The sequence below is a fragment of the Homo sapiens genome, chromosome 19, assembly GCF_000001405.40.
Source record: "Homo sapiens chromosome 19, GRCh38.p14 Primary Assembly".
Classification (NCBI taxonomy): Eukaryota; Metazoa; Chordata; class Mammalia; order Primates; family Hominidae; genus Homo; species Homo sapiens.
The window spans coordinates 8,440,719-8,463,321 of NC_000019.10; the positions used below are offsets into that span (position 1 = coordinate 8,440,719).

A 22,603-nucleotide genomic window follows, 5' to 3' on the forward strand; every position below is an offset into this window, starting at 1 on the left:
AGCAAACAAACAATTTTTTAAAAATGGTGACAATATCCACGCTGACTTAGGGTGACTATAGATTAGGCATAGTTCCGAGTCTCTCCCTCCTTTGACTGTCACTTGTTAGGGAAGAAGTGGTTATTACCTACATTTTACAGGTGAGAAGACTGAGGCCCAGGGCAGGGAAGCCTTAATCTAAGGTCTCAGAGCTGTAGGAAGTGGAGCCGGGGTGACACCAGGACTCCTTTTGGAGGAAGACTCAGGAAAGATGCAGAATACGTGTTTTTTTTTTTTTTTTTTTTTTTTTTTGAAACAGAGTCTTACTCCATCACCCAGGTTGGAGAGCAGTGGCGTGATCTTGGTGATCTTGGCTTACTGCAACCTCTGCCTCCCGGGTTCAAGTGATTCTCTCTTGCCTCAGCCTCCCAAGTAGCTGGGACCACAGGCAGCTAAGTTTTGTATTTTTAGTAGAGATGAAGTCTTGTCATGTTGACCAGGCTGGTCTCGAACTCCTGACCTCAGGTGATTCACCTACCTCGGCCCCCTAAAGTGCTGGGATTACAGGCGTGAGCCACCGAGCCTGGCCCAGAATGCAGTTAATCTAATAACAACACCTACTTCTTCAGCGCTTTCTGCCTGCCGATTCTTTTATATTTAAAGGCTCTTGGCATCTGTCTGCTTTTAAAGCTCAGGGCAACCCTGAAAGGTGAGTTCTGGTGCCTTTCTTTCTTTCTCTCTCTCTCTCTCTCTCTTTCTTTTCTTTCTTTCTTTCGACGGAGTCTCGCCCTGTTGCCCAGGCTAGAGCGCAGTGGCACTATCTCTGCTCACTGCAACCTCCACCTCCCGAGTTCAAGCAATTATCCTGTCTCAGCCTCCTGAGTAGCTGGGACTACAGGCGCCAACCATCATGCCTGGCTAATTTCTGTATTTTTAGTACAGATGGGGTTTCGCCATATTGGCCAGGCTGGTATTGAACTCCTGACCTCAAATGATCCACCTGACTCGGCCTCTCAAACTGCTAGGATTACAGGCGTGAGCCACCGTGCCCAGCCTGGTGCATTGCATTTCTTATTATCCATATTTTCAGTTAAGCAAACTGAGCCTCAGAGTGGAGGAGCTGATTGCTCAAGGTCTGTTTTCCATATGAATCCCTGCCTGGTATGTAGCTCACTCACAAAGGAAGAAAAACTTTCTGCCTGGACTGGAAGGGCAAGGAGAAGCCTGTGTGGCCATGGGAGTGGAGGAAACAGCTAAGCACAAAGGCCCAGAGGCTGGAAACTGCTTAGCCTGTAGGAAGAGCAGCAGGGAGGAACCCCAGGGCTGGAGCAGTGTGATTGAGGGGCAGGTGGCTGGAGAGATGGGCAGGGCCTCCTAGGCATGGGGTGACTGACGCACCAGTGGTCTGCAAAAACGGAGCATCACACCAGTGCGCATGAGCTCTCCTGCCCCTTGGGGGGGCCTTCCTTGCTCCTGCAGCTGAACTCCCTACACAGCCTGACACCCATCTTTCCTCAGGCCAACTTTGGCCTGTGGTGCCCCAGGAGTTGATGTACAGATGCCTCAGGACATGCCATGAGGAAGAGAGAGACGAGATGGGGTGACTCATGCCTGAAATCCCAGCACTTTAGGAGGCCAAGGCAGGAGGATTGCTTGAAGGCTGGGAGTTAGAGACCAGCCTGGCCAACATAGCAAGACCCTGTCTCTACAAAAAGAGAAAGAAACAGAGAGAGAGAGAAGGAAAAGTGTTTTCTTTGCAAATCTATTCTAATACTTTCATAGAGAAGAGTTTTAGTTTGGTGTTAACCTGTCTTTAATAATCCTCTAAGGACCAGCACAGTGGCTCACGCTTATAATCCCAGCACTGTGGGAGGCCAAGGCTGTAGGATCCCTTGAGCTCAGGAGTTCGAGACCATCCTGGGAAAAACGGCAAGACCCTATCTGTACCAAAAAATAAAAATAAAAAATTAGCCAAGTGCAGCGGCGTGCACCTACAGTCCCAGCTACTTGACAGGCTAAGCAGGGGAGGATCGCTTGAGTTCAGGAGTTCAAGGTTGCAGTGAGCTATCATTTACAAAGGTAGATTGAAATATTATTGATAGGCTGGGCACGGTGACTCACACCTGTAATCCCAGCACTTTGGGAGGCTGAGGTGGGCAGATCACCTGAGGTCAGGAGTTTGAGACTAGTTTGGCCAGCATGGCAAAACCCCATCTCTACTAAAAAATACAAAACTTAGCCAGGCGTCGTGGTGTGCACCTGTAATCCCAGATACTTGGAAAGCTGATGCAGAAGAATCGCTTGAAATCAGGAGGCGGAGGTTGCAGTGAGCTGAGATGGTGCCACTGCACTCCAGCCTCTGTGACAGAGCAAGACTGTCTCCAAAAAAAGAAAAAAATATATTATTGATAATCGCTGCATTGAAGGCCAGGCGCAGTGGTTTACGCCTACAATCGCAGCACTTTGGGAGCCTGAGGCAGGCGGATCACGAGGTCAGGAGTTCGAGACCAGCCTGACCAATATGATGAAACCTTGTCTCTACTAAAAATACAAAAGTTAGCCGGGCGTGGTGGCATGCACCTGTAATCCCAGCTACTCGGGAGGCTGAGACAGGAGAATCGCTTGAACCCAGGAGGCGGAGGTTGCAGCGAGCCGAGATGGCGCCATTGCACTCCAGTCTGGGCAACAAGAGCGAAACTCCGTCTCAAAAAGATAATCGCTGCATCTTACTGCCCAAGTTGCCACAAGCACACGTAACATCTGATGGTGCCAATTCGACTGTCTGCACTTGGAAAATGGCACATTGGAGGCTGCACAGCACCATAAAACTGATGCCACGAATGCACACAAAAATAAGACCATACAGCATTATGCCTAGTACAGAATACACCCTGAATTCTGTCACAGTTCACTTTATGCAACATTGCAAGAGTCCTCTCGCTCTTTATTATTATTTTTAATTTTTTTGAGATGGGGTCTCACTCTGTGACCAGGCTGGAGTGCAGTGGCCCGATCTTGGCTCACTGCAACCTCCTCCTCCTGGGTTGAAGCGATTCTCCTGCCTCAGGCTCCCCAGTAGCTGGGATTATGGGCGCCTGCCACCACACCCGGCTAATTTTTGTATTTTTAGTAGAGACAGGGTTTCATCATGTTGGCCAGGATGGTCTGATCTCTTGACCTCGTGATCCACCCGCCTTGGCCTCTCAAAGTGGTAGGATTACAGGCGTGAGCTGCCGCGCCCAGCCATTAATTTTTTTTTTAATTTTGTTTTTAACTTTTAGGTTTGGGGGTAAATGTGAAGGTTTGTTAAATAGGTAAACACTTGTCATGGAGGTTTGTTGTACAGATTATTTCATCACCCAGGTATTAAGCCCAGTACTCAATACTTATCTTTTTGTTTTTTGAGATGGAGTCTCAGTCTATCTCCCAGGCTGCGGTGCAGTGGCGTGATCTCGGCTCACTGCAACCTCCGGCTCCTGGGTTCAAGCGATTCTCCTGCTTCAGCCTCCCGAGTAGCTGGGATTACAGGCGCCCGCCACCACGTCCAGCTAATTTTTTTATTTTTAGTAGAGACGCGGTTTCACCATGTTGGCCAGTCTGGTCTCGAACTCCTGACCTCAGGTGATCCGCCGCCTCGGCCTCCCATACCCAAAGTGCTGGGATTACAGGAGTGAGCCATCGCGCCTGGCCCCATTATTAGTGAATTTTAACAGTTTTCCGTTTCTTCTGGACGAACTGTTTGCAATTATAATGCGAATTACGGATAATACTCTGATATTATTCCATGCCGTTCCGTTGTTGCCTACAAAGTTCGCGCTGGAGAACCGCGCAATTGCGTTACAAAAAGAAAAAAATCACACAAAAAGACACAATGTTTTAAGAAAGTTTACGAATCGTGTGCCGGACCGCGGGTTGAACAAGCTTCATCTAAAACTTCCAGGAATCTCTAGACAGGATCATTGCTTCCCCTCTGCTCCAGCTCTGGTTACAGAAAGCTGAGAGTGACTAGGTCTAGGTGTTTGTGTGGGGTGGGGTGGGGAGATGCCTCCTCTATCGGACTCAGAGGACGCGCGCCGGGAACAGCCAGTCGGTGCCTAACGCGAGTGTATCTCGAGAGAGAAGCGATCAACAGCTGCCGGTCTGCGCCTGCGCGCGGCGGGGGCGTGGCCCGGGGCGAGTGGGGCCAAGGAGGCAGCCGGGAGCGGCGGGCGCAGGTGTTACTGGTTGCGTCGGGTCACGTGGGCGCGCAGGCGCAGCGCGGTGCAGCCCGTTCGCTCACACAAAGCCCAGACGCGGAGAAAATGGCGGCAGGGGTCGAAGCGGCGGCGGAGGTGGCGGCGACGGAGATCAAAATGGAGGAAGAGAGCGGCGCGCCCGGCGTGCCGAGCGGCAACGGGGCTCCGGGCCCTAAGGGGTGAGTATCCCACGGTCCTTTGCCACGGGTAAGGGTTCCTCTCCGCGGCCGACGCGGGCGGCGGCTCCGTTAGGTCTGTTGGCGGCCTAGCCCCGGCGCGGCCTCGGCCCCGGCTGTTCCCGTACCGCCTGCTCAGGGTAGCGGCGTCTAGGGCCGTGAGCGGGGAGCCGGGGGAGCCTCCAGAATCGTCCCCTACACCGGGCCTCGAGCCTCGCCACCCTCAGTCCCTCCAGGCCGGGGCCAACCCCGTAGTCGAGGCCTCAGGCCCAGCTGCTGCGCATGGGGGTTGATGGCGCGGGCCCGGACCGGAGAGCCTCCGAGGCCTACCCGACCGCTCCCCGGGAGGGTGACCTCGGGGGCCGGGTTTCAGCCCCCCGTCCCCTCTCCTCCCGGGGTCTGTTTTCTGATCCGTAACGTGGGGGGAGGAGAGAGGGTGCGCGCCCGGGAGGCCTCGCGCGCAGTCAGCCCGAGTCAACGGTAACCGAGCGAGGGAAGCGTCAGGAAGGGCCGCGAAGCCGGGTCGGGGGGCTCCCCTCCTGCCCCGCCCCTTAGTCCCCGCGCGCCGACCGCGCTCCGCGGGAAGTGCCTCCCTCGGAACCGCCCCTCGCCCCACGCTCTGGCCCTGGCTCAAGTCCCTCGCCGTTTCCCGCTCCTCCTCCCCGGGTGCGCCGCAGGTATTAGTGGAGAGATGGGATCTGCTGCTTAGCGTTCACCCTCGGAAGCAGACAGATACGAAGTCGGGGGAGGAATCCCCTTTTTCCCGTGTTTCGGGGAAGCTGTTCTGTCAGGAGGCGGGTTCATTTACTTCCAGACTTCATCAGCTTTTCGAGTCCTGCTTGGGGCTCTTTGACTCCTTGGCTTTTAAAAGTTTCTTTAAAGGAGGAAGCATCGACTTGTGCCCCGGTGAAACTCATTCATTCTGATTACAGACACTTAAGAGAGACAGAGAGGTTTTGGCTCCAAGATCAGCGGCCGGGAAGGAAGGGGAAGCCTGGGTACACATTGAATTTCCCAGACATTTATTTCATTGTGGTAAAATAGACATAACGTAGACTTTGCCATTTTAACCATTTTTTAAGCGTATAATTCAGTGGCATTGAGTATACTGACTCAGTGTGCTGTAACCGTCACTGCTTCATGTCCAGAACTTTTTCATCATCGGAAACAGAAAGTGTAGCTATTAAATACTAACTCCCTCCGTTTTCTTTCCTTTCTGTCTGTGACTTTGCCTTCCTCATATTGTAATGTGTGAAGCTTAGTTTATGGAGATTAAAAGTGAATGCGGTTGAGCACTTATATATTTAATTTTTTTCTTTGAGACAGGGTCTCCCTCTGTTACCCAAGCTGGGATGCAGTGGCACGATCACAGATCACTGCAGCCTCGAACTCCTGGGCTCAATCGATCCTTCCATCTCAGCCTCCTGAGTAGCTGGGATCACAGGCGCGGCACCACCATGCCCGGCTAATTTTTTGAAGAGAGGAGGTCTCCGGGTGTTGCCCAGGCTGGTCTGAAACTCCTGGGTTCAAGCCATCCTCCTGCCTAGGCCTTCCAAAGTGCTGAAGTTACAGGCATGAGCTACTGCGCCCTGCCTAGTTGAGCGCTTAGGTTAAGAACGTTCCCTAAGTGCTAGCTATATTGGTAGATAATAAATCCGGAGAAAATTCCAGATTCTTTCCCTCCTTAAGTAGGGAGAAATAAAATACCATGGTTACTGGCCCTTAGAAATGAGAAAAACTTCCTCTATTCCCAGCATTTTACTATTGAAAACTCTGGGAAGGAATGTGTTAATTTTGACTTTTTCAGCGTCTATCTACGGAAGCTGGTAGGATTTCTGAGGGTGGTATTTGGAGGGCTTTAAGATAAATTTATTTACCGTATGCAGGAAGGAGTGCTGGTAGAACCTTGCTAGATGATAGGGTAAATTAATAGATTACAAATTTTCCCTTTTCCCCTGTCCATTTTCAAATAGTCATTTTGTGACTGAGTCATTTTACAAATACATGTGGACTGTTGGAACCTGAAAATTGTAGAATAAAATAGCCGTTGTGAGAAAGAGGCTCAAAGTCTCAAAGTCTAGTACTAGCTTCATAGAGGATAGTTTAGGAAGCTGGCAACACTTGGATATTTTTGATAGGGCCTGTGGAAAACTTTTTTTTTTTTTTTTCATTACAAGTCTTAAGGAAATCTCTTTAGAAGCCTATACTTTTGCACTCCATGCAGAGTGGAGAGGCCATTAACATATTTGTATGTTATGTATGTTATGTAATTACCATAACATAAGGTAATTATGCTGTGATAGAAGTTAGTGGAGTTGCTTGGTAGAAAGAATGGAGGAGGTGACCTCCGCCACCTGCTGGGGGCAGGGACCTGTTCCTCCATGACAGGAAGACGTGTGGAAGTGGAGGAGAAGAAGATGGTTGGGGAGGGGCAGGGAAGAGAGTATCCAAAGAGCAGAGATTTGAGTGTATGCTTTATCGAGAACTGAAGTTGTGCTGGGTGTAGTGGCTCACACCTGTAATCCCAGCACTTTGGGAGGCTGAGGTGAGAGGACTATTTGAGCTCAGGAGTTCAAGACCAGCCTGGGCAACATGGTGAAACCCTGTCTCTACCAAAAAAAAGAAAAAACAAAACAGGCTGGGCCCGGCGGCTCACGCCTGTAATCTCAGCACTTTGGGAGGCCGAGGCGGGCAGATCACGAGGTCAGGAGATAGAGACCATCCTGGCTAACACGGTGAAACCCCGTCTCTACTAAAAATACAAAAAATTAGCCGGGCGTGGTGCCGGGCTCCTGTAGTCTCAGCCACTGGGGAGGCTGAGGCAGGAGAATGGCGTGAACCTGGGAGGCAGAGCTTGCAGTGAGCCGAGATTGGGCCACTGCACTCCAGCCTGGGCGACAGAGCGATACTCCTTCTTCAAACAAACAAACAAACAAGAACACTGAAGTTGCTATAGAGTTTTAAGGTTGGAGCACTGGCAGCCAGCTGATGGGCAGTGAATTTGGATTTTTATCTTGAAAGCCTTTGAGAGACAGGAGAAAAATAGAAACTTGGTTCTTTGGAATTCTTTCTCTACCAGGAGTGGAGTGTGCAGTAGACCACAAATGCAGTGAGCTAGCAAGCTTGATCTGGGAACCCAGGTTGGAAATCTTGTTTTGCAGTTACTTCTCTCCTGGGTGTGAGAATAGGATTTGCTTAATTTTGATGAGAAGTCTGTTCCAATTAAAGTCAGCAAAGATTCAGAGTTAGGGTATAGTCAGGGAAAAAAAAGTTCATTTTAGGGGAATGTATAGGTTTTTAAAATTTTTTTAAATGTAGTATCATATATAAAATAAATGACTTAACCTGCTCCCCTTCCTGAGTAATTTTTTTTTTTTTTTGAGATGGAGTCTCGCTCTGTTGCCCAGGCTGGAGTGCAGTGGCGCGATCTCAGCTCACTGCAAGCTCCGTGAACCGCTTCCCGGGTTCACGCCATTCTCCTGCCTCAGCCTCACGAGTAGCTGGGACTACAGGCGCCCGCCACCATGCCTGGCTAATTTTTTTAATATTTTTTTTTAGTAGAGATGGGGTTTCACTCTGTTAGCCAGGATGGTCTCGATCTCCTGACGTCGTTATCCGCCCGTCTTGGCCTCCCAAAGTGCTGGGATTATAGGCGTGAGCTACCACACCTGGCCCCTTCCTGAGTAATTTTGTGGGTGAATAAGAAACAGATGGATTGGTTATTTATAAAAATAAAAATATATATTTAGGGTAGATTCCTGAGGAGGTACTGTTAGAGTTGACTCCATTTGACAATCAAGAAAACTTTCGTTTTAAACACTTAAACCCAGGTTCAGGAACCTGACCTAAAGACTCCAGGGGAGGCCCTCCTGACTCCCAGGCAGCTTGCTGCTTTCATGATACTACCTTGGTAACCACTCAGTAAACAGCCGTTTGAATTGTTTTATTTAAATCAGATTCTCTATACAATGCATTTGAGTGTTTGCTGTACTTTAAAGAGTGATTGTTTATTCAAAAAGGATTTTGGAGACACGTCAGATTGTGAGCTCAAGATTAGAAGACAGGGTTTTGGATTATTTGAATGCATGCTGCCAGGCCTTTGCTTTCACTCAGCTCTTTGATTTTATTCTGGTTAGGGAAAGAGATACTAGCCTGCAAAGATTAGCTTGCTTGTTTTTTTGGGAGGGGGGGTTCTCCAATGGACTTCCCCATTACCATATTTTGCAGTCATAGGGTTGAAAGCTAAATTGTCCCTTTGCTAGTCTGTAATGATTATGATGCCTAGGTTTTCTCAGCCTTGGCTCTGGTTTGCTAGTTTTAAAGCCTGAACAGTAGAAGGCTAGGAGTGAATCAGTCCCCCTCTCTACCCTTCTCAATAAAATTATTGGTAGAAAAATACATCATTGCCTCACTGTGTGCTAAGAGTCTCTTTTTTTTTTTTTTTTGAGACGGAGTCTCGCTCTGTCGCCCAGGCTGGAGTGCAGTGGCGGGATCTCGGCTCGCTGCAAGCTCCGCCTCCCGGGTTCACGCCATTCTCCTGCCTCAGCCTCCCAAGTAGCTGGGACTACAGGCGCCCGCCACTACGCCCGGCTAATTTTTTGTATTTTTAGTAGAGACGGGGTTTCACCGTTTTAGCCGGGATGGTCTCGATCTCCTGACCTCGTGATCCGCCCGCCTCGGCCTCCCAAAGTGCTGGGATTACAGGCGTGAGCCACCGCGCCCGGCCTAAGAGTCTCTTTTAAAGCTGTAAGCGTGTAGGTAGTAGCCTCCATAGGACCGAGGCCTAGTGACGACATGGTGACCCCAGCTCTTAGCCACATGCAGTACTGCTTCCCTAGATGAGCTGCTTTTTGTTTTGCCATTCTTTGTTGATTGTCACAGTGTCCCTCTGAGCTACCATGCATACAGGTTGCGCTGGTTTTGCTGGTAAAGCGCTAGAGACAGAAAGAGCTTGAGTCATGTGGGTAGTTCAGTGGTGGCCTTGGAGCTGGAATGGTGCTGTGAATAGTGCTCTCCACACCTTACATGCATTAGAGCAGCGCAGGACTTGAGGGATTTCTGTGAAGAATCACTTTATATAAGGGATGGTTCTCACACGGGCAGAGGGGTCCTTGTCCCTCAGGAGATGTGATCACAATTTCAGGGTATTGGGATTGCCATTTCAAACTGCACCCTTTCCTTGATTAGAAACTCCAAAAGTAGTGAGTGTTACGCATGGGAACTGCATGGAGACCTTAAGAGAGGGTAGGCAGTCACTATTTGGTGGTGGTCTTTTGCAGATTAGGCACTCAATCTTTTTATTAGGGTTTTTTTGTTTTTTGAGATGGAGTTTCACTCTTGTCCCTCAGGCTGGGGTGCAGTGTACGATCTCTACTCACTGCAACTCCAGCTCCTGGGCTCAAGCGATCCTTCCACCTCAGCCTTCTGAGTAAATAGGACCACAGGCACATGGTACCATGCCTAGCTAATATTTTGTAGAGATGGTGTTATACCATGTTGCCCAGGCTGTTCTTGAACTCCTGAGCTCAAGTGATCCGCCCACCTTGGCCTCCCAAAGTGCTGGGATTACAGGCATTAATCGTATTTTTAATTTAATTTAATTAATTATTATTATTATTATTTTTTTTTTTTTTGAGATGGAGTTTTGCTCTTGTTGCCCAGGCTGGAGTGCAGTGGCGCTATCTCACTTCACTGCAACCTCCGCCTCCCGTTCAAGTGATTCTCCTGCCTCAGCCTCCCAAGTAGCGAGTAGCTAGGATTACAGGCACCCGCCACCATGCCCGGCTAATTTTTGGTTTTGTTTTGTTTTGTTTTTGAGACGGAGTTTCACTCTTGTCGCCCAGGCTGGAGTGCAATGGCATAATCTCGGCTCACTGCAACCCCCGCCTCCTGTGTTCAAGCAATTTTCCTGCCTCAGCCTCCCGAGTAGCTGGGATTACAGGCGCCTGCCACCACGCCCAGCTAATTTTTGTATTTTTAGTAGAGACGGGGTTTCACCATGTTGGCCAGGCTGGTCTCAAACTCCTGACCTAAGATAATCCACCTGCCTCGGCCTCCCAAAGTGCTGGGATTACAGACGTGAGCCACCGTGCCTGGCCTAATTTTTGTATGTTTATTAGAGACAGGTTTCCACCATGTTGGCCAGGCTGGTCTTGAACTCCTGACCTCAGGTGATCTGCCCGCCTCGGCCCCCCAAGGTGTTGGGATTACAGGTGTGAGCCACCGCGCCCAGCCAAAAGTTAAAAAGACTTGCAGAGTTAAGTTTTTATATGTACGTATACATATACATGGACTAGAGAAGAATCTTCCCCTAATTTTGTCCTGAAGATAGTGAGAAAATAGGATTGGACATGTTAAAAAAAGAGCTTTTCAGGACATCACTTTTATACTATCACATCATCTAAACTTGAATATGTCCCTCCCCTTCCCCTTCCCCTTCCCTTGCCGAGACAGGGTCTCCCGCTGTTACCCCCGGCTGGAGTGTAGTGGTGCAATCATGGCTTACTGTACCCTTGACCTCCTGGAGCCAGACTGTCTTCTTTCTGCATAGCTGGGACCGCAGTTGTGCACCAACATACCTGGCTAATTTTTTGTATTTTTTTTGTAGGGACACGGTTTTGCCATGTTACCCAGGCTGGTCTCAAGACTCCTGGATTCAAGCACTCAGCTCACCTCAGCCTCCCAAACTGCTGGGACTGCAGGCATGAGCCACCATGGCCAGTCTGCTTGAATATGTGTCTCGAATGATATTTCTTTGAGGGTCATTCTCTACAAGTCTGTCAAGAATTAGTTGGTGGTGGTAGATTTCCAAAAAGGTCAATTTTTTAAAAGTTGGAAATGACAAGAGATAGTTCTAATCTCTTTACTGAGGAAACCTCTCAGAGGGAATGATTAGCCAGGGAAGGATTTGTTTGCAGAGGTGCTGTGCCCATTAAGCATGGTGAGAGCCGCTTTCTCAATGGTGAGTCATGTGATGTGGATTAACCCCAAACCAAATGCTCAGCTTCTGTGGTTAGATTGGATAGTTTATTCGTAGCCATGGTATGCACCTGTGGAATATAGGTTAGACACTTTGTTACCTGCTTTGGCTGTAATTATTTATTTATACATTTCGTAGTTTATAGGTGAGCTTAAGCAGTCTGGTGAAAGACTGGAAATAATTCATCATGGACTCTGTCAGAATGTTTTTTATTGTAAATCTTAAAGTATTTGGGACTTCAAAAGTAACAATATTAAAATTCATTTCCATCTGTGAATCCTCTGGTGGACCATGATGTGTAGATTCTGTTATGTTTTATGATTTTTTCTAACACAGTCGTCGTCATTTTCCAGGAAAGAGTAGGAGATGATTTGGCAGATAGATTTTGTTTGGCAGACTTTGGTGAAGGACTTTCTTTTGGAGTAGACAAGTGGCCTGGGTAACAGTTGTAGGTCTCCTGTGGGACCTGCTTTGTGGTGTGAAGCCAGTCTTGTGGACTCAGGTAGATTGCGTTCTAGGCATCTAGGGATTGGAGCTGCCATAACATCACCTTATCTGCCAGCCCGTGGGAAGGGAAGCCTGTTGATTGTGTATTGGTATAGTTGAGAGATCACAGAGGAAGCTGCTTTCCTTGGTTTTACCTTGTGTTGATTTGGGTGTGGCTCACACCAGTGATACCTCTGCTGGGATACCACTTGGCACTCTTGTGTTTGGGGACTACACAAAGTTGCTGACTTTAAAATTTTTCCAAGTAAATACGTTACTATTTTTGAGACAGGGTCTTGCTTTGTCAACCAGGCTGGAGTGCAGTGGTGCAATCATAGTTCACTGCAATCTTGACCTCCTGGACTGGAGCCATCCTCTCAGCTCAGCCTCCTGAGTAGCTGGGACTACAGGTGCACAACACCACACTCAGATAATTATTATTATTTTTAAAAATAAAGACAGGGTCTTATTTGTCGAACTCTTGGGTTTAAGTAAGATTCTCCTGCCTTGACCTCCCAAAGTGCTGGGATTATAGGTGTGAGCCACCATACCTGGTCTCAAGTGAATACTTTTGTTTGTTTGTTTGGAGACAGAGTCTCATTATGTCACTCAGGCTGGAGTGCAGTGGTGCGGTCTCAGCTCACTGCAACCTCCGCCCCCCGGGTTCAAGCGATTCTCCTGCCTCAGCCTCCTGAGAGGTGGGATTGCAGGCATGTGCCACCACGCCCAGCTAATTTTTGTATTTTTAGTAGAGATGGAGTTTCAGCATGTTGGCCAGGCTGGTCTTGAACTCCTGACCTCAAGTGATACACCTGCCTGAGCCTCCCAAAGTGCTGGGATTACAGATGGGAGTTACCACACCTGGCCTCAACTAAATAACATTTTAAAATAGTAGCTTCTCCAGCTACTATCTGGTGTTTCTTCCACGGAAGAAAGTTACATCCCAGAATAAAGATCGGCTCTTCAGTTAAAGATACTTTTATAAATCATTAATACTGTAGTCTTGGCTTTTTGGTTTTTTTTCCGGTTTTGTCATGGATTACAAATTCTGTAGTAGAGCCCGTGGTCTGGGAGTCACTGGATTCTCACTGGCGGGACACACAGGGCTGGGGAAGCAGAAGGTGCAAGGCTCAGTTGCTTAAGAAACTTGAGGTGGCTTCTGGCTCCTCACTTGTTCCTGATCAGCTCTAATCTGTGCCTCCCTGTAGTCAGAGGGGTTGCGCTTGAGCTGGCAGCTGAGGAAAGCGCCCTGTCAGCCAGTGCCCGGGCTTCCAAGCCTGATGGCTGCTACCTAGAGATGGTTAGTGTTAACAGTGTGGTGGCACCTAGCACACAAAGGTAAAGAGTGCAATGGGAAGGCCGTGCCAGAAAAGCAGCCACCCTTCTTTGCCAAAGGTGGGATTGTCTGCATGCTGTCTTCCACCTCCCAGGGTTGCTCAGACCCAAGTTTCCCAGCTTCAAAGTAGTAGGATTGTGTAGGGAGTGGTTTCTTTTCCACCTTTCTGGATTTTTAAAAAGTGGTTAAAATATACATAAAATAGACCATTTTAACCATCTTAAGTGTGCAGTGAAGTATGATGTTTTGCAGCAATCTGCACATTCCTGGAACTTTTATTCTCATCCCACATGAAATTCTATGCTCAGTATTTAATAACTTCCCATTTCTACCTCCCCCTAGGCCCAGGTAACCTCTGTTCTACTTTCTGTGTATGGATTTGCTTATTATAGGTATTTAATAAGTGGAATCATACAATATTTGGCCTTCAGTGACTGGCTTATTTCACTGAGCATAATGCCCTCAAGGTTCATGCATGTTGTAGCCTTTGTCAGGATTTCCTTCCTTTTTGTGGCTGAATAATATCCCATTGCATGGATAGTCCGTGTTTTGTTTATTCCATTCATCTATTGGTAGACACTTGGTTGTTTCTACCTTTTGGCTTGTGTGAGTAGTGCTGCTATGAACATTGGCATATGTGTATGAGTCCCTGCTTTTAATTCTTTTGGGTGTATACCTAGCAGTGGAATTGCTGGGTCATAGTAATTCTGTGTTTAATTTTGAGTGACTACCTAACTTTTCCATGGCGGCTGCATCATTTTATGCCCCCCCCCCCTTTTTTTTTTTAACACTATGAAAGACACTTATTTGTGAAGCTAAAATTGGATGGGCCTATGTGTACTACCTCATATTTCCATTCTATGAAGTCTTAGAAATCATCCCTCTCTTCTCCTGTTTCTGTCTTGGAATTAACACACCTTGGTCAGGGAGTTGGCCTCACCATTGTCTCTGTTACTGTCCGTAGGAGTATTTTGTGAGCCCAGGAAGGTGTACCTTTCCTTGGGAATGCTTTCTGCCCTGTGGAGCCTTGAGTTTGAATGTCTTAATTCAAAACCAACATTAGTCTTGTCTTTGCTTTTTTTGAGACAGGGTCTCGCTCTGTCACCCTAGGCTGGAGTGCAGTAGGGTGATCATAGTTTGCTGGAGCCTCGAACTCCCGAGTTTAAGTGATCCTCCCATCTCACCCTCCCTACTAGCTAGTACTGCAAGTGCACCACCACACCTGGCTAAGTTTTATATATATTTTTTTGTTGTTTTGACAGGGTCTTGCTATGTTGCCCAGGCTAGTCTTGAACTCCTGGCCTCAAATGATCCCCCCTTCTTGGCTTCCCAAAGTGCTAGGATTACAGGTGTGAGCCACCGCATCTGACCAATACTAGTCTTGTGTCATATGTAACTTTGTGTGGAATTGTAAACCTGGCAAATCAAATAATTATCTTTCACATTGTGCTGACATATAAACCCTTTACCTTTTTTTCCTCTCTCTCGAATTCAGTGAAGGAGAACGACCTGCTCAGAATGAGAAGAGGAAGGAGAAAAACATAAAAAGAGGAGGCAATCGCTTTGAGCCATATGCCAATCCAACTAAAAGATACAGAGCCTTCATTACAAACATACCTTTTGATGTGAAATGGCAGTCACTTAAAGACCTGGTTAAAGAAAAAGGTAATGGTACTGGTGATTGAGTAGGGTGAGAAGGTTGGTGTGTCATCTTTTCTGTGGCTAATTCCTTGGTTATTTTTGGTCAGTGGAAGCGGCTCTGGGTAGAGCATGTTCTTTCCAGGCTTAAGAGTGAAGCCCCCTTACCCCACCTCAGTTTTTTTTTTTTGTTTTGTGTTTTTTTTTTGTTTTGTTTTGTTTTGTGGTCATACCCCTGTGTGTCAAACAGGATGGTTTGTATGGTCCTTTGGCCTACAGATGATTTTACTGGCTTAGTATGGTTAATAAGGCTTCGATTAGGCTTCCGGGGAGCCTTTTCGTGTTGAAATTTTTTGAATTTTGCACGTTAGGTGGGAGAGATTTTTCCTTTCTTTCCTTTTTTTTTTTTTTTTAAGCTTTTTAAGTTTCACAGGAAGATAGCTTGTTTAAAATTTTGTGGATGTCTTCCTGGGATCAAAATGTGGTAGCTGGACCTTATGCTTCTCAGATTCCAAACTATAAAACATTAGCTTGTATTTTAACTTTTAGGCTTTTTCCCCTCTGGGAAAAAATAGAGTAGACTGGCCATTGGAGAGCTCAAAATAAGGTATCTGCTTTGTAACGCGGTGCCTTAGGATGTGGATTGTCATAGCCTAGGTGTCCACCTTCCAGCCGAGGGCAGGGGAAGCAGCCAAGCTCTGCTGCCACCAGGAGGCCCGAGGAGGCCTGCCTCTGTGATCCTCACCCCCGTGCACACTGTGGTGTCCTCTCTCTCTCCTTCTTCCCTCCTGTGCTGCTATCGTCTTCCTTTCTTTCCTGATTCTTGGCCCTGCTGGTGGCACTTAGGACTAAAGAGACTGCTCAGCCCTGGGTTAGACAACACCGTGGTAGAGAACAATTTGTATATTGCCTTGAGGCGCCCTCCCCGCACCCCGACCTAGACTCAAACTACCCTTCATGGAGTCTTTGCATGACTGAAAGGTATTGGTTTTCTGGAGCATTCATTATGAAAAGAGATGTGAGCTTGATTTGTCAAATGATTTAACATTTCAGTGACAGAGATGCCCCGTGGATAGGCCATTTTGGTATGTGTACTGGTGCTCCCTGCATTGGATTTTGAAATTATGAATGGCACTGCCATCATTGTCCCATCCCTTATTTTGACCATGACATGCAAGAAGCACTAGGCACTGTGAACCTCTCCGTACAGTCACGCGTGCTGCTCCCACGTGGCATTTCTCCAGATAACACAGATGGAAAAACGTTTTGGTGTGAGATTGATGTGCCTGCCTTGATCAGCCAAATCATTCCTGCCAATGCTCCTAGGGCAAGAGTGCAGTTTCTTCTTTTTGTCTGAGGGTGTGTCATGCTGCATCCCAGATGCAGTGTTCTTGGTTTTTGGGACTGCTGCTTCAATAGAAGCTTAGAATTTCTGTACAGTACAGTTGGGCCTCATTCGAATTAGCTTTTGGAATAACCTCCAAATTTGTGTTCTCGTGATTTGGTTGAACCGCTGAATTGCTATTTCCATTGATAATAAGGTATAGTAGTTCCAAGAACCAGGAATGTGGCTTTGAAAATGCAATTGTTAGAATTTTGTAAGAGATTGCAGGCCAAATTATTTTTTCATTTTTAGGAGTGTGTGAACCAGTTTTGGGACATGCTGGATGAAGTAGGTGACATTTTTACTGCTTTACCATTCAGTAATTCGGTTTGGGAAACCTTAAAGCTGGTAGTAGCAGCAGCAGCCATGGTGTTTCTGGATGTAGAAGCAGTTCACCTCAATTCACTATTTTGCACTCTTAAGTGTGGAGCCAGCCTGGTGGTTGATTGGGATACTTCCAAACTGGTTCTCATATTCCCCTGGCATACTGCTACGAATGCCTGGGCTCAGCCCTCTCAGTGTATTTTTGGTGGTGTAATTTAGAATTACAGGTGTGCAGTAAATCAGTTATTTTTAATGAGCCTTAAAATGTTCTTGTTTAGAGCTCCCCTGTACTGGTTAAATTAATTACTTTGCTGTTTAATTAAATTATTAGCGGTATAGGATTGTGGGTAAAGTGACTCAGAAAGGTAATCTTTTTATGATAATGCTTATATTCAGTATGTGAGGTCTAAAGAAATTTACTGTGTTTACATACATATGACTTCTTAAGAAATACTCTTCTTATTACGTGCTTTCAAAAAGACGTTTTTATTCCCGTTTTGGTGTACAAAAAATGTTTAAGTGGTTAGTTTAAATCTGAAATATTTACTTGAAATTTGTTGCGCATAAGTTTTAAGTGTTTTGAAGACTTTATACATAGGAAGAACTGGCAGATAGAGGCACTTACAACCCTAAAAGTATTAGTCTCAATTCCAAAACACAGAGATCTGGGCTGTTGTAACCTAAGCACTCTTTATCAGTCTGTGTTTTAAGGTCTGATGAATCTTAGCCTTGTTTCAGGAAATGAGTAGAACAAGAACTGGAATTAGTTGTCCTCAACTGAAATTTTCTGTCATTATAGCACTATCTAATTGCAGCCTCTCAGAACTAAAGTAGCTAGCTTTGAGAGGCCCAAGAGGGGAGCTTTTTTTCTAAGGATACTCCGGGGGGAGATTGTCTCACATGCTCCTCCCTCACTCTTGATCCTCTTCCCCATCTTTCATACCAGCTGCATATTCTCCAGCTTTAATTTTAGCATTTAGCAGCATTCTAGCATTTCCTATTAAAAATCCACATAGGAAGTAAACTGGTCATTTATGCCTTTGAAAGTGACTTAACAGGCCACAGCTCCCCAGGTTGTATCCTGACAGGTAAAGGGATACACATCTTAAAGTGATTGACCATAAGGACTGGGTGGAAAAAATAAAGATTTCTGTGAGAAAAGGCGATCTTAGGCTTTTAAACTTAGTGTCGTGCTACATTTGTTTGAGACCAAGTCCTGTATGAGTGGAGGAAGCTCCTTGCTGGGCTGCTTCTCTTGACCTCACCAGGCAGCCGGCAGCACCCAGGTGGGGCAGTGCCACCAGAGCAGGACTGAGCTGCACCTGCAGTGAGTAAATAGAGCCCAGGTTGAGGAAGAAAGGAAGGTCAGGGATGTAGTTTACCCTCAGTCGATCCGAAGTTTAGCAGCAGTCAGTTCAACTTGTGTAAGCAAAGATTTCTTTTAAGCACTTAATCCTTCTGTTAGTATAATACACCACTTTAAGTAAATTTCAAATTGCATCTGACAGAAAACTAAGGCCCAGAGGGCAAGTGTAGTCCAGTAGAAAACCTCCATCTTGGCTCCTGGAGATAATTTGCATTGTGGGTCTATTAGGCAGAACTGTATTTTCAATTTAAATGATATTCCTACCCAGTCTACTTGCTTCTTCATATTTTCCTCTGTTGGAAATGCAGCCTGTATTTTATTTATTTTGTTTTTGAGATGGAGTCTTGCTCTTTTGCCCAGGCTGGAATGAAGTGGTGTGATCTGCAACCTCTGCCCCCTGGGTTCAAGTGATTCTCTTGCCCCAGCCTCCCAAGTAGCCGGGATTAGGCACCCACCACCACGCCGAGTTAATTTTTGTATTTTTAGTAAGAGATGGGCTTTCACCATGTTGGCCAGGCTGGTCTTGAACTCCTGACCTCAGGTAATCTGCCTGCCTTGGCCTTCCAAAGTGCTAGGATTACAGGCCTGGCCGCAGCCTGCATTTTAGAAAGGCCTGTTATGCTAAAGCGTTCATATGTATGAATACTTAGGTTGAGCCCCAGCAGTGCAGCCTGTCTGGCTTACCCCGTGTGGTCTCTGGTGTTAGGGAAGCAGTAACGTTCTGTTATTGCCACGCAATTGAGGAGCGTGGGCTCAGTCATTTCCTAACATGTCCATAAGCCAAGTAGGTGTGTAGAATAATTATTTTGCCATGTTTCAAGGTGTCTTTATATTAAAGAGTGTGCATGTGTTCTGTGCACTCCCCTCGCCCAATAGAGTGGCAGCCTGAGAATTGACCGTTATGAGATGAAGAATGTTTGACAACATGCCTGACTTTCAAGTCCCCCCAACTCCTGTTAAAAAAAAATATATAGGTCTTATAACATGTGAATTCTCTTCAGTGAAGCTTCGGCACTGTATTCCCTCTTTTTTTCTTTTTCAGACTTGAGCAGTAAATGGGAACACAAAAACAAATACTCATTTGGCTAAAGGTCTGTGCAGGAGAGTGAGGTCACAGTAGCTCCCAGGGACCGCCTGAGTTCTTTTTGGGTTGCTCATCTGCTTATCCTCCTGATGTGTTTTAAGAATAAGGCAGTCTTTTTAATAATTCACTTAAATGTTGGTCAAAAATGATTTCTTAGAGCATTTTAAATAGAGGTAGATAACAGTTGGTGTTAGATTTTTTAATGTCTTAGTTTTTTCAATATTTTGATGTTTTAAGCTGCAGTAGAATTTGTCTTAGCAGCCTACTCTTGGGATTCCATGAATTCCATCCATGTTTACACAGGGGGAGGAGCAACCGTATTTTTTATTAATAACTGTGAGTGCCGTTTCTGTAAGACTGCTGCTACTGCCAAGCTGTCACCTCTACCCCTGAGTCCTGACTGTGTGATCTGCTCTGGATGGTTTGCTCGTTAAACTTCACTTCATGGAATGTGACCAGACTGTTTACTTGACAAATTTTGCCCTCACATTCTTGTCGATAGTTGTACTGACTACATAAAATAAATCTTTGCTTTGCTATTGTAGAACCAAAAGGGAGGTGGTCTTTTAAAGGCTCCATTTTCCTATAGGAAAGTATGAATTAGCAGCTATTGCAGATCCCTTAACACTTAATGGATGGTCTCTCAGGGTAGAGGTTGGAATTTTATGAGTTTGTGAGGAGGATGGGCATTACTGATGATCTCAGGGACAGCACTACTCATGCTGGACCCCCGGGTGACTGCTAAATGATGATACCACTTGAGGTAAAAAGAGGGAGAACGTTTTAAGCAAATTTTTAATACAAAGGATTGAGTCAGGTGTGCTATTTCTAGACTAGACTGTTACGTGGAAAAAGTCCTAATTTCTAAACCTCTCTTTTTGTTAAAGTGGTTATGGCCATGGGAAAAAGTTTGGTTTGGATTTGCTTGGTTTCTGGGTTGCAATTACAGCTTTTTGATCCAAGCGTCTTATGGACACAGACTAGAAACTTCCCATGCAACTGGGACTTGAATTTCGGCAACATGGTTGCAGCTGTTTTGAATTAATTATTGTGAGTCTTTTATTTTTTAAAGGTTATTAGGTGGTAGTCATAGCTGGTAGGAAATCAACTTGGGGCCTCTTCAGTCACTATTTTGACACTATGTGGCATTTTCATCAAAGTGGAGACAAGGGTTGGTGGTCCTTGAATGGCTGCTGCTCTTGAAACAAATGGCTTTTTAACATGGCCTCAGGGCGGCTGCATTTTTGGAACTGCTTTACTTTTTAAGGGTTAAATAAAGCCGCTTTGTACAACTGTCCCTTGGCTGTGATCATTTTTCAGTTTGCCCCACAGGAGTACATACTCTAAAAGTAAATTGTACTGATCCCTCATATTTCCGTTCTTCATTTCTTTGCACTGATGATTCTCCTGTTTTGTACAAAGTGTCAGTTTCGTTCTGAAACATTTCAGGAGAGGACAAAGAGGGTGAGGCTCTAGATGTAAACTTTGGACACTTGGCTTTCTTGCCTTCAACCAATGTGCAGAGCCATTAATAAATATGTCCTTCAGATCTTTAAATTTTTTGTAAAATAATTTTACCTTGTTTTTCATTAAAAATTTTTCTTCCTATAGCCTCATAATTTTAATGTCCTTTAAACAAAAGAGTTGGAATAGGCATGACTTGTTGAGGCCGTTAAGCGGGTTATTTTTACCCTTGTACTGCTAAACCAAACCGATCCAGAGGACAACAAAAGCCCATTTTTTGCCTTTGGAGAGTCTGGTTAGAGATAGTTTTCTCCAGGGTAACACTTTACATTTGTTTTCTGTGTGCCATCTTCAAGTTCAGCAGCCATTTTGGTGGTTGTCTTGATGGATTCTAACATCTGGTCATGGTGGTCATGAATTGGCAATCCAAACCTTGAGGAAAATCTGCAGAAACTTTTGAAATGCTTTGGTTTTTTCCCTTTTGTGTAGATTAGAATCATATGAGTCTGTTTAACTGTTTAGATACAAAATCTGAGCCCTAAATTTGAATTTATTTGTGTCCTTTAAATGGGGAGGTTTAGAAAGCGGCAAGAATGAAGCCTGGCCTAATTCACTGAAGAGAATCCAGATGCTGCTCTGGTTTTGTGATCTTATTATATTCAAACATTCTGCCTCTACAGATGTGGAGCCTAGTGCTGTGTGCAGGACCAGCTATAGAATTTGTGGGGCCCAACACAAAACGAAAACAAGGGGCCTCTTGTTAAAAAAAAAAACTAAGAATGTCATGGCAGCGATAACAGCATTAAACCAAGCTCAGGGCCCCTGAGTGCGGGGCTCTGTACAATTGCACGAGTTGCTCACCTGTGAAGCTGGCCCTGCGGCCGTGTGTGCCTGTGAGCTTATACCTTCGCATACGTGCGTCCTTGTATTTATAGCATGTGAGCTCAGCCCGATGGCATCGCAATTTGTATGCATTTCACCTGCTTGCCACCAATGAGAGCGTATGTGTAAAACCTCCTCCCTTCCCCAGAAAAGTAAATCACGCAGACTTCTTTCCTATAGATTTGGATTGCCTCTAGTCATGAATGAGTCTTCCAGACAGGGAAATTGATACGGAAATCTGTGGAATAGCTTGTTTGTGGTGGGAGGAAAATCAAGGACATATTGTTAACGTGTTTTCACCTACTTTTACTGCACACCTGTAATGCCTAGTTCGGTGGTTTAGAGAATATGGAGTGTTTCTGGGCTTTCTTATAAGGCAGAGGCTCCATACAAGGTTGCTGATGATTGTTCTAAATTCCCATTGTTTTCTTGGCTTTTCTCCCTTGGTTTATGTGTCGTCTGGAAACTGATTTGTAGTTGGTGAGGTAACATACGTGGAGCTCTTAATGGACGCTGAAGGAAAGTCAAGGGTAAGTGTCTGAGAGAATTTCTTCTGTGGATTTACTACATGAAAAATGTAACTGTATGGTGGCGTGGAATCGAATGAAATCAGGAAGGCAGTGAGTGCTCATGTTACAGTAGCTATGTTTGATTTTGCCAAACATTTGAGTGGGGTGGGAGGGGATTTGCAAATGGGAGTCCCGCTTTTCCAAATGGCTGGCCAAAGAGCTTTTTGGTATTCTGTTTGGATGCCCAATTTGGATAACTGGGGACCAATAGCAGCATTGTCTCTTTGTTAACAGAGGAATTGGCTGTGTGTGAATTATGCATGGAATTTTAGCGGTGGTATAATTAATGTAAAACGTGTGTTCTTGTCTAGAAAATGTTACTCTTGGTTGTTTGCTGAATTTGAAAGTTGTGTGAACCAAAGATTCCGAAAAGTTGCCTTTGTGCCAGTAAATTGTAAACCAAATATTAAAAACCTGAATGTTCAAAATTGGCCTAGTTTAAAGAGAACATAAACTATTTTCTGTCGTGCAATAGAATGGCTTAGAATAATCAAAAGGATGAGCTTAACTTACGGAAGGGATGGATTTAGGAGGAATATGGTAAGGACTCGATTGAGTACAGAGGGAAGCAGATCTAAAGTTGGTGTGATTTCTTGGAGACCCTGAATTTAGGTCTGCTTATTAAATGTCAGCAGCTCTAGTGCAATGCTGGTAACGCGTAGGAGAAGGAGATATTAAGGAGCCCAGCTTTTAACAAGGAA

At 45.8% G+C, this 22,603-nt stretch overlaps 1 protein-coding gene across 10 annotated transcripts in view, besides 3 other annotated features; it reads left to right on the plus strand.

Annotated features, from left to right (window-relative positions):
- Window positions 1,147-1,441: a silencer, noted in NCBI's record as "tiled region #689; K562 Repressive non-DNase unmatched - State 23:Low". NCBI's record gives its function as "represses a minimal TATA promoter and a strong SV40 promoter by Sharpr-MPRA in K562 cells {active_cell/tissue: K562}" and the evidence as "EXISTENCE:reporter gene assay evidence [ECO:0000049][PMID:27701403]".
- Window positions 4,016-4,295: a silencer, noted in NCBI's record as "silent region_10024". NCBI's record gives its function as "represses an Ori minimal core promoter by ATAC-STARR-seq in GM12878 lymphoblastoid cells {active_cell/tissue: GM12878}" and the evidence as "EXISTENCE:reporter gene assay evidence [ECO:0000049][PMID:35858748]".
- The window catches only part of HNRNPM (heterogeneous nuclear ribonucleoprotein M), a 44,140-nt gene continuing 25,793 nt past the window's right edge, over window positions 4,257-22,603 (plus strand). For 8 of the 10 annotated variants that reach the window (NM_005968.5, XM_005272479.3, XM_005272478.4 and 5 more), the window contains exons 1-3: window positions 4,257-4,393; window positions 14,687-14,856; window positions 21,811-21,863. In NM_005968.5, the coding sequence (NP_005959.2) occupies window positions 4,281-4,393; window positions 14,687-14,856; window positions 21,811-21,863 (336 nt within the window). In that variant the 5' untranslated portion in view covers window positions 4,257-4,280. Of the gene's footprint in view, window positions 4,394-14,686; window positions 14,857-21,810; window positions 21,864-22,603 lie in introns of those variants that run through there. The other 2 variants (NM_001297418.2, XM_047438860.1) reach the window with 2 other exon arrangements.
- Window positions 4,536-4,765: a silencer, noted in NCBI's record as "silent region_10025". NCBI's record gives its function as "represses an Ori minimal core promoter by ATAC-STARR-seq in GM12878 lymphoblastoid cells {active_cell/tissue: GM12878}" and the evidence as "EXISTENCE:reporter gene assay evidence [ECO:0000049][PMID:35858748]".